Below are 12181 nucleotides of genomic sequence, written 5' to 3'. Positions count from 1 at the left end.
TATTTATATGTAAAGAGAAAGAATGGATGGAAATAAATATAGTGTAAGAAATTCTGGAAGAATGTAGGGATAGATGTTGAACCTTTGTTGGTCATGTAGTCAGAAGACAAATGGGCATTTAAAAAAAATTTTAGAGTGGCCTATTTTATGACAGACAGAAGGTACTTAAAACTGATGACAGGATGGTTTATCTCATGAGAAAGTGAGGTTAGGGAGGAAAAAAGTTTAATAACAATGAGGGGTTCACATATATGTTTGTAAGACAACAAAGACAGGAGAATGAGGGTGTAGGAAAAGAAACCTCCAAACGTTCCAATCTACTGGGAACATGAGAAAAAGAGGAGGAGAGATGAAATGGAACAGAGAATCAAGGGGAGGGGAGTTGGGGTGTAGGAAGAGGCAGCTAGACAGACAGAGACAAGAGGACTTTGCCGAGGACTTGCTGAGACTTTTGGGACAATGTAAAATGCTTGGTGCCCAAGGATGCTTACCCTAAATTGTGCCTTGAGATATGCAAATTCTGAGAGGAGGTGCAGAGATGATCCTGATCAGAATCAGGATCCTGATTCTTTTCAAGAATCTATAGCATCAAGATAATTTGACAAAATAGAAAAGAAATAGTCTTCATGTTATTTTAAGTGGAAAGAAAAGTCATTTTGCTCTAACATTCTCCACTATATTGTCAGGTCATCAATTTCCCTTCACATCTGAGAGGCTCACAATAAACTATTTCTTGTAATAGCTGGAGATTATACACATTGTAAAATTTCAAAATATTAATTAGTTACTAGACCTGTATTAAAAGAACTGTTTTTTCTCTTTGAAGGCTTGCAGACCATGTAGCCTAATCTTTTGTGATTTTTCTCCCCAAAGCCAATGGTAAACTTAAAAAAAAAAAAATTAAAAGATTCCCTCATTTTCTTTTGTTACTTTTTAGAACTAAATTTCTTTTGTGATTTGGTCATGCAAGCTTTGTAACTTCTACAATAAGGCTTTTCTCTATGGAAACAAAAACAATAAAAATAACTTTTAAAATGTTACATGCAAGACACTGAAAATGAGATTTTTAAAAGGAGAAAGGATCTGGGATACAGGGAACACAATTCCTCCCAGGGCCATTTGCATCATAAAATGTGATTCATCAGCCATTACATCTGCATGGTTCTCCAACTGATGGACACTGATTGCAATAACCAGGGGACGTTGCTATTCATGGTGCGTAATGAGCAAGTCTCTGAGACACACTGCCAGTCATGGGTCAGGCAGAGGTTTGGGGTTTCAGAAAACTCAGAGATCCAAACACCACCACCAACACAGCGCCTTGCAAAAAATAAACCCAAACCAAACAAACAAAAACACTCTCTCCTTTATTTCCAGTTTTCTCTGATTTTGGAGAAAGTTGTTGATAGCTGTCTGGTATTTTGCATATAGAATATATCTTATGTAAGAGTTCAGATACTTCTTTCTATATACTTCTTGAAGAGTTTAGAGGCTCGAGCTCAAAATCTAACTAGCTTGAAACAATAAAACCCTCAAAAGATTAAATACAGCCACTAGTCCATTTCCAACACTGTAGCCTGTCTGAATCAACTACTTTCCTCGCCATTTATAGAAGATACATAGTCTCTGGAAGTTTAACAGAACTTAATTGAAGGTGTTAGAATGTGTGCTCATATATTTCTTCCAAGGTTTGCTCAGTTTAGATTATGCAAACACACCCAGTCTTTGCAGAGGCTGTAGGTTATTTTCAGAGACTTCCATTAGTGTCACTCTTTTAACCTTATTACAAAAAGTAAAGTTTACAGCATAGAGTTGAAGGTTAAGAAGTGGTTACTTAATACTTTACAGATAGACTTACTTTCAAGGAGTTCATATTTCTGCTCCTGGTGCGAACTACCATGAGCAAATAAAGCCACATTTTTCAAAAAAATTATTTATTTTTTTCTTTTGGTAGAAAATTGTCCATTTTTTGTTGTTGCTAAAGCAAAAGTCTGATGTGAGTAAAGTGAACCATGCCTCCAAATGACTCCAAAACTAAAGAAAGATTTACTCAGTGCTTCAAAGGGATTCTGTAAACTTTTCAAGGTTTTGCAAACTATCTTCAGATTATTGATCTGCAAACACATGCAGGTGTGCAGGCACATGTACACATAGTAAGTACGTGTCTGGTTGAATTATATGGTCAGTTAAGTTAAATAACAAGGCATTTCAAACAATAAGTTGACTGATTTTGTATTTTGACTAGTTAAAATTCTTAAATGTGTTATTTTGTGAAAACTTAGACATATTCATGCCGCATTGTTAGAAGTTATAGTGGTTCCATAGTTGGTGATTTTTTTCTCCCAATGTTTTCTTTCAAGTTCAATGAAGTTTTCTTTCTTTGATTCCCCCTTTTTGCAGCTGATTCTTAAAAAGAACATTATTTCTTCTTCTGAACAAGAACTATCCATTACATTTAAAGCTTATTATTTAAGGCATTTACCCATGGAGCCCCAAGGGACTATTTCTAAGTAGAGACAACTGCTCCAAATGTCCCTAGATTTGTTTTTGTCATTATGCAAAGGAAAACATAAAAGAGAAGAATGAGTCCTCAGCGCTTTGGGACATTTATTGATCTTGCTGGAGGATGAGCTTCAAACAACAAGTCTTCCTCTGAAGACACAACTTTGTTATGACCAGATGCTTTTGAACATGTGAATTAATCCTGCATCACTGCATGGATGATTGATGTTTTTACTCTGAAAGCTCTGGGGCCCCTGTGAAATTTCTGAGGTCCAATGATATTGAGACAATGATAACCTTGGCACCATTGATTTTGCTGTGAATTGGGATCATGTTGCAATATGTGCCATGTCAAAGATATGTACTCAAACAATACACTGTGCTATTCTAGAAAACTCAGCAAGCTTCTTCTCCCTTTAAGCAACAAAAGCTCAACAAGCTAACAGAGCAAAGCTTCCAGTGGAGATCTTTACTCTTTGATGTATGCCACATGTGTCTTCAGACTACAAATCAGAGCCCTGAGCTTCTTGGCTGGCAGTATACTTCATCAGTATTCATCTTTGTGGGAGGCCACATAATTAATAAAAAAATGAATCAAGAGTCTCTGGGTGAAAAAAAATCATATCAAGCTTGTTTAAACAAATAGGGAAATTTATTGGGTCAGTAAAAAGGAAGCATAGAGGTGCATTTAGCTTCAGGCAAGGCTGGAACCAGGGCTCCAACTAGGTTGGTAGAGTATCTTCTCTGCTCTGCTTCAGTTGGTTTGCTTTCTCAGACAATCTCACCCAATGTGGCCACAAAATGACTACAGGTAGCTTTAGCTAACATGCTTCCAGTTTGGCAACCCTCATGGAAAGAAAATGCACTTTCCTAGTACTTCCTGCAAGTGTTCCATGCTGGATTGTCTCAGTTTAAGCCTGTGTCACCCTAAAGGGAGAAAGGAAAGTAAAGGAGCATGTATGGGTTGTAGCCCACTTGAATCTCATGGGCAGAATATTTTCTCAAATGGATGCCACACAGGAGAAACAAAATTCCTTAACCAAGCATCTCACAGCAGGGAATGTTGCACCATATTCACAGTTTATTCTTGATTGGTTTTTAATAAAAGTTATAAAATATGAATGTATATTAATCCATTAATTTTTAAATAATAAAATTTGTCTAGACTATTAGCTGACAGAGTATAACGTAACTCAAAACTTATGGCCAGGTGCGGTGGCTCACGCCTGTAATCCTAGCACTTTGGGAGGCCGAGGTGGGCAGATCATGAAGTCAGGAGATCAAGACCATCTTGGCTAACACAGTGAAACCCCATCTCTATTAAAAATACAAAAAATTGGCTGAGCGTGGTGGCGGGTGCCTGTAGCCTCAGTTACTTGGGAGGCTGAGGCAGGAGAATGGCATGAACCCAGAAGGCGGAGCTTGCAGTGAGCTGAGATCATGCCACTGCACTCCCACTTGGATGACAGAGCGAGGCTCCATCTCAAAACAACAACAACAAAAACTTATACTACTTGTCACATTTTTAAATGTGCATAAATTTGCTTGTAATTTCAAACTACATGAAAAGAAACAAATATGTCTCGAATTTATCCTGGATAAAAGGAAATTAAATTAGAAATAATGAGCCACTCAGAAAAAAATAGCAAAGAACACTATTTGAAAAAATATTTCATAAAACAACCAAAGATTTAGTCAGAGGCAATTTCATTGCCTTGTAATTTTATTAAAATAAAAAGAAAAAAGTAAACATATTCATTACCAAAACTAGGTCAATGAAGTAAAGAAGAAAAGTGAAAAGAAAAGTAATGAATTAGAAGACAGAGCAATAGAATTGATCAATTCAGAACTTATTTTTTGATGTATCATGAAAAAGTGACAAAAATTTGTTGTATCTAATAAAGTATAAATGATATGAATATAAGAAATATTTAACAAAAGTACAATATAAAATTTTGAAAAATTTATATATACTAATAAAAATTCTGTTTGAAATAGATATTTTGCAGATTAGTGACCAAAACTGACTCAAAAAGTGAAAAACTATACTAAATTAGTGGCAATGACAGTTTATTTAATTTATTCTAAAGAACTATCTGCAAATGAGATCCCCGGCTCAAAAAAAATTTATGGGCAAATGTTTACATCATAAATAATTCTCATGCTATATAAATTGTTTCACTTGATATCAAAAGCTATTATCATCCTACTTAAGATGTCTGCAGAAACCTGAAAAAGATGCAACAGAAAAGTAGATACATATTTTAAAAATTGTAAAAATCCTCAAAAGTATAATTAAATATCTCAGAGTATTTCAAAAGTATAGCACATCAAGCCCAAGATAGGCTTTTTCTAGTAATGCAAAGATGGTTCAATATCTGGAAAACTTTTAATATAATTAATCATTCAAATAGGTTAAAAAGTTGAGGACTTCATAAAAATTTTAAAGGCTTTTTTTTGGTAAAATAAGACATTTATAAATAAACATTGGGATACATCTTTAATATAATAAAGATGTTTTCCCCAAGACCTGCTCCTATTTCAGTACTCTTAACAAGTCCAAACCAAACTCTTATTTTTCTCTTATAAAAAGCTAAGTTGTTCATATCCTTCGGATCAACGATTCTACTCTTAAGACCTTACTGTTTGATATATTCATATACATTCGTGATAAAATATATATGTTTGGAATAGCAAGGAATTGTACACAAACATGTCTTTCAGTGGGATACATGCTGGTTAAGCACATGCTACATAGAAAAAAATTTACAGCCACTTAAAGTAATGTCTACGAACTGATGTGAAAGATCTCCAAGACAGTATATAAAATGCCCCCCTCTTTTCTCTCTCTCTCTCCTCTCTCTCTCTGCCTCTCTGTCTCTCTCTCTCTCTCTCACACACACACACACTTCAAATAGTAAGAGTTCAGAGAACACATATAATGAGATTCTATATTACTCAAATCTATTTTATTTCTGAGTTTCAGAGAGTGAGAAGAAAATCAGAGGGTTTATAAAACACAACTTAGTTAGATCTATTTGGATTCCAAGTTCTGACCATGACAGTCTTGTGTGTATACACATAAGTGTATGTGTTTATGCAGATAGAATTAATTCTCAGGAGAATATACTATCAGCTAGATTCTGATTGCAAGGGAAAAAAATTCAATCCAAGTTTGCAACCAGGGAATTCCTTATCTCTTATAAGCTGAAAAGTATAAAATTAGACTTCACATATAACTGGGCAGGGTTCAAAACCATACTATCAGTCTCTGATTTCCTCCATATCTTGGCTCTGCATTCTGTTTGTTGGTTTTATTCTTGGGCTCTACGTGGTGTGATTTCTAACAGCTCCAGATGACATCTTGACTATACCAAATTTAAAGTTTTTTTTTTTTCTTGCTCAGTAGTTGAGATAAAACTCCTAAAATTGAGTCTTGTTGGCTCTTGTTGGCCTGACTTGTATCATATTCCCTTTCCTGATGCAATTTCTGTGACTAAGGAACCTCATCAACTTTGGGTTAAAATCAAATCCACAAAAATTATATGAACTGAGTTAAAGTGGGATGCTTTATGCAAAGCTAAATTATTAAAGATGCTGCATGGAAAACAATTATTTACTGCAGTGCAAAACAACAACAGCAACAATAACAAAAAATAGGAAGACTGGTTGTCTTTGGTAAGAGAGATAAAGCTATAAATGGAAGGAAGGGTTTCTTTTCTCTTGTGCTTCATTTATGGTTTTCCTCCACGTGCATACATTATTTTTTCAGTAGTAAAAAACAACTTGAAAATATTTATGGAGAGTGAAATAATGGTAAAATAAAATCCCTACATCACACCATATACTAAGCATACATTCTAGATAAATAATTTATACTATCCAAAGCAATCTGCAGATTCAACACAATTCCTATCAAATTACCAATGTCAGTCTTCACATAATTATAAAAAACAATCCTAAAATTTATATGGAACCAACAAAAAAGCCCAAATAGCCAAAGCAATCCTAAGCAAAAAGAATAAACTGAAAGTGTCACATTACCTAACTTCAAATTATATTACAAGGCTATAATAACCAAAACAGCATGATACTAATATAAAAATAGACATATAGATCAATAAAACAGAATGGATAACCCAGAAATAAAGTCATATACCTACAACCGACTGACCTTTGACAACATCAACAAAAATATACACCTGGGAAAAAGATAGCCTCTTTAGTAAATGGTGCTGAGACAAATGAATAGCCATGTGCAAAAGAATGAATCTGGACCCCTATCTCTAACCATATAGAAAAATTAACTCAAGATGGATTGAAAAAGTAAGACCTGAGAAGATAAAAATCCTAGAAGAAAATCTAGAAAAATCTCTACTGGACATTCACCTAGGCAAAGAATTTATAACTAAGTCCTCGAAAGGAAATGCAACAAAAGCAAAAATAGAAAAATGGGACTTAATTAAACTAAAAAGCTTTGCACAGAAAAGTAATTGACAGAGTAACCAGACAACCTACAGAAAGAGAAAATATTTGCAAACAGTGCATCTGACAATAAGCTAATATCCAGAATCTATAAGGAACTGAAACAACTCGACAAGAAAAAAAAAATCTCATTAAAAAGTGGGTGAAGGACACGAACAGACAAAACAATATTTTTTCAAAAGAAGGCATACAGATGGCCAAGAAACATATAGAAAAAAAGAAGTTCAACATCACTAGTCATCATATAAACGCAAACTAAAACCTCAGTGAGATGCCATCTTATACCAGTCAGCCTTGTTAATATTAAAGAGTCAAAAAATAACAGATGTTGGTGAGGATGCTTATACACTGTTGGTGATAATGTAAATTAGCACAACCTGTATGGAGACCTCTATGGAAAATTGTATGGAACTTTCTCAAACAACTAAAAATAGAACTACCCTCTAGTAATCCCACTGCTGGTATTTACGCAAAGGAAAATAAATCATTTTATCAGAAAGACTTCTGTGCTCATATGTATATCACATCACTCTTTACAATAGCAAAGATATGGAGTCAATGTGAGTGTCCTACAATGCATGATTAGATTTTTTAAAATGTGGTAATACTACTTGGCCATAAAAAAGAAGGAAATTGTGTCTTTTGCAGCAACATGGATGGAACTGGAGATCATTATCCTAAGAGAAATAACTCAGAGACAGAAAGGCAAATATAGCATGTTCTCACCTACAAGTTGGAGCTAAACAATGGGTGGCTTCAGCTTGTAAGTGACATATAGAGTGGAATAATAGACATTGGAGGAGGGTGGGAGGGGAGTGAGAGATGTAATACTATCTATTGGGTACAATGTTCAATGTTTGGGTGATGGATTCATGAAAATTCCAGACTTCACCAGTATGCAATAGATCCATAACAAAACTAACTACATGTGTACCCCTAAATCTGTAAGAATAAAAATTTAAAAAGTAAAACATATATTAAATAGTTTAAATATGAAATTACTCATTTAAACTGTGCTGAAGAATATATAAGTAAATACTTATTAATTATTGTATTCAGGGAGATCTTCAAAGTGAGCCACAATTGGCAAGGTCCACAAGAAAAATAATGATATTTCCAACCCATTTTTACAGTAAAATAAAACAAAAATACCAAAAAAACCCAGCTGAATATAAAGCTTGTAAGGTGAATACCCTTTTAACCACCATCCACGTATAGAAATTTAACTTTGCCGCCCATACCAGAAGCCCCTCGGTATGCCCCATCTTAATCTTAAGCCCCTTCTTTTTCCCCACAAAGTAACTCCTATCCTCATTTCTATATCATTATTTCCTTCCTTGTGTTACTTTACAGTTTTATCACCCACGTGTTCAACTCAAGACACAAGAGTTTAGTATTGCCCATTAAAAAAAAGGATATGTCTTCTAAATCTCTTTTACTACATAGATTTTCTTTTCATTCCCTTCTTCCCTTATGATTTATTGTTGAAGAACCCAGGCTGTTGGACCTGTGCAATTTCCTGCAGTCTGGATTTTTCTGATTTTGCACCTGTGGGGCAGTTCACCATGCCCTCTACCCTCTGGAGTTCCTGCATGTTGTCCATTAGACTGAGACTGGATCAGCCTGATCCCAATGGTAAGACTGTAAGTGGAGCTGGGCTCTTTCATCAGGAGGGACATGATATCTCAGTCTCTTTTTTATGATGTTGAGCAACTCTTGATGCTTACAACTTAGATTCATTAATTCAATGGGATTGCAAAATAGTAATATTCTATTATTTATTTGTCATTTATTAGTGGAAAACATTTACAAATAGGTACTACCCCTCATCTACTACTGGATGCCTTAAGTGAAAGTTCATACAGAAAAGACAAAATAAATGTTAGGTTCTTTTTCTTGATTTACCAGTTTTAAATAATTAATATGTTCCCTGCTCATCTCCACAGGTGACTTATTAGGTTTAGGTTTTTAAAAATATGTTGTTATGAGTTCAAGGATTTAAATTTTTGATGGGTTTCAAGCCATTGCAATTGTTATCAAAGCTCAAATTGTTCACTTTTGACCTGTGAAAATGTCTTCAAATTAGCTTCTGCTTTCTTTTCTACATGAGTCTTGTAGTTTGGGATAGTACCCACACATTTGGTGTAAAAGATATTCCAGGGTAATCCTGTACAATTCCTGCCACAGATGTGGATCAGCTGTTTCTCGAAAGACAAAAACCAACCAAACAAAAAACCTTGATTTCTTTTAATAGAAAATAATATTTCAAGATCTCTGTGTGGACTCTAGGGATGTTCTCTATTACTTGATTGCTCATTGTTTCTAGATCTCTTCAGTAAATAAAACTAGAAAATATGTATATAGCACCTGTAAAATAAAACATCCCACAAATTCATACAAATATTTACAATCCAAATTTATAAGTACAGGCTTTTTGAACAAGATTTTTGTTTGTATTGTGTGGCTACCTTCTTTCTTCAACACTGAGAATCATGGTTCTTAAGGACACAGGGGATCATAGAATTGGAATATCCATAATGATTAATTTACCTTATTACACATTACATAGACAAAAGCCTCAGTTTAACAATATATTATAGCCATCCATTATAGTTTTTGAGAATAGCTTAAAAAGTTGGTTTTGTCCATAATCTCAGTATTCTTTCCCAGTTTTTGAAAAGAATTGAATAAAATTTGAAACAATTTATAAATATTTGATAAATTTAAAAAATTAATTTTATTCTTAATTTATAAATCTATTATATACTATACATTCTATAATGTAACCCCTTTAACTCTTAGTTCTACTAGTAACTATATGTTTATGCCCCAGTCCCTATTCCCATGTGACCTGAATCATTTTGGTTGTCTAAAGCTGGTTTTCTGGCCAGGTACAGTGGCTCATGCCTGTAATCCCAGCACTTTGTGAGGCTGAGGCGGGTGGATCACTTGAGGTCAAAAGATTGAGACCAGCCTGGCCAACATGGTGAAACCCCTCTCTACTAAAAATACAAAACTTAGCTGGGCGTGGTGGTGTGTGCCTGTAATGCCAGCTACTCTGGAGGCAGAGGCAGGAGGATTGCTTGAACCCGGGAGGCAGAGGTTGTAGTTAGCCGAGATCTCGCCACTGCACTCCAGTCTGGACGACAGAGTGAGACTCAGTCTCAAATAAATAAATAAATACATAAATATAAGGAAAAAAATAAAGCTGGTTTCTTGATTACTCCTCAAGAAGAAATCATGGGAACAAAATTCCTTGAGTTCTTGCAATTTGACAGCCGATGATCTATGCCCTTTATACTTAAAAGTCATATTTGCCAGATATAAAATCTTTAGCTCACATTTTTTTGAGTTCCTCACATGTATTATTCCATTTTATTCTGGCATAAATTATTGCTGTTAACAGTCAGATCATCTATTCTTTGCCTTACTGTTGTTTTGTACTCCTACAAAGCATATGGTAATTCTATGTTTAGCACTTTGAAGAAAAGTGACTGTTTTTTAAGATGTGGTAATTTTATTAGAATATGTCTTTATTGTGGTCATTCTGGGTCAATATTTTTTTTTTTAACTTTTAAGTTATAGGGTACATGTCCAGGTCTGTTATACAGGTAAACCTGTGTCATGGAAGTGTGTTGTACAGGTTATTTTGTCACTCAGGTATTAACCCTAGTGCTTATTAGTTATTTTTCCTGATCCACTCCATCCTACCACCCTCTGCCCTCCGATAGGCCCCGGTGTCTGTTTTTCCCCCTACGTATCCATGTGTTCTCATCATTTAGCTCCCACTTGTAAGGGAGAACATGAGGTATTTGGTTTAATGTTCCTGTGATAGTTTGCTAAGAATAATGGCTTCCAATGGATCAACTCTTAAACACGTGGTGTGTTCTCGCAATACATACCGTGGAATTTTTTTAACTTTATAAAAAAGTTTTTTTGATTTATGGTTTTTGTTTTGCATTTTGATTTTTTTCTTTGGGAACTCTCATTATCTGTTTATTGAACACTATCTTTACCATTGTCCCTTTCTCTTAAATTCATTTTTATCTTTTCCATTATTATTTTTACTCTTTCCTTCCTTCTACCTTCTTGGTGTGTATTTTACTCTTTTTTCTAGTTTCTTAAAGTGAAAGCTTAAATTCTTGATTTGAGGCCATTTTTTTATTCTAATATACGCATTACTTCCAAGGAAGCAGTTTTACCTGCATCCTACAAATTTTGATGTGTTAGATTTCATATTTTCTCAGCTAAAAACATTTTCTATTGTTCTCCTGAAATGACTTCTTTGATCCATAGATTATGTCCAAATGTGCTGTTCAATTTTCAAGTATTTAGAGATTTTTCCTTTGTCTTTCTGCTGTTAATTTCTGATTTCATTCCATTAAATTTAGAGACCATACTATGTATAATTTTAATTATTTAAAATTTGTTGAGGTTTGTTTAATAACCCAGATATGATCTATCTGGCTGAATGTTCTGTGTGCCCTGAAAATAATGTGTATTCTGTGGTTATGAATTAGAAAGTTCTATAAGTGTAAGTTAGATCTCATTTTATGACAGTGTTGTTTATTTCTTCTATTTTCTTGCTGATTTTCTCTCTACTAGTTCTACATATTAGTGAGAGAGGAGTGTTGATGCTTCCAACAGTAATTGTGGATTTATTTCTTTTTTTAGTTCTTTCAGTTTTTGCTTCATGTATTTTTAAAGTTCTGTTGTTACATGCATAAACATTTAACTTTGTTATGTTTTCTTGGTGAATTAATCTCTTTTATTAACATGCAATGTCCCTCTTTAACCCTGCTAATGATTTTTGCTCTAAGATATACTTTGTCTAATATTAACACAGCCACTCCAGCCTTCTTCTGATTTATATTTGCAAAGCCTATATTTATCCATGCTTTTAATTTTTTAATTTTTAATGTTCCTACAATGTTATATTAAAGTGAGCTTCTTGTACACTCATAACGTAGCTGTGTCATTTTCAAATTAATTCTGACAATCTCTGTCTTTAATTATTGTCTCTAGATCATATACACGTAATATAATGATTGACATATTTGGATACAGGTGTACCCTTTCACCGTTTGCTTTCTTTTTACTTGTTTTTCCCCCTTTTCTCTTTCGTTTCTTCTGTGATACGTGAACATTTAAAAACCTTCCCTTCTAAGTTATCAATTGTATAGTTTAGAATATC

At 34.1% G+C, this 12181-nt stretch overlaps 1 long non-coding RNA gene across 1 annotated transcript in view; it reads right to left on the bottom strand.

Moving 5' to 3' along the window:
• Positions 1-3135: 3135 nt before the first annotated feature.
• Positions 3136-12181, bottom strand: part of LINC02096 (long intergenic non-protein coding RNA 2096) — a 65950-nt gene continuing 56904 nt past the window's right edge. Inside the window, exon 4 of the long non-coding RNA XR_001753053.2 lies at positions 3136-3429. This is a non-coding gene — a long non-coding RNA (long intergenic non-protein coding RNA 2096). The remainder of the gene's footprint in view (positions 3430-12181) is intronic.

This window comes from Homo sapiens, chromosome 17, assembly GCF_000001405.40.
Source record: "Homo sapiens chromosome 17, GRCh38.p14 Primary Assembly".
Lineage (NCBI taxonomy): Eukaryota > Metazoa > Chordata > Mammalia > Primates > Hominidae > Homo > Homo sapiens.
This window is presented reverse-complemented; position numbering and strand designations above follow the sequence as displayed.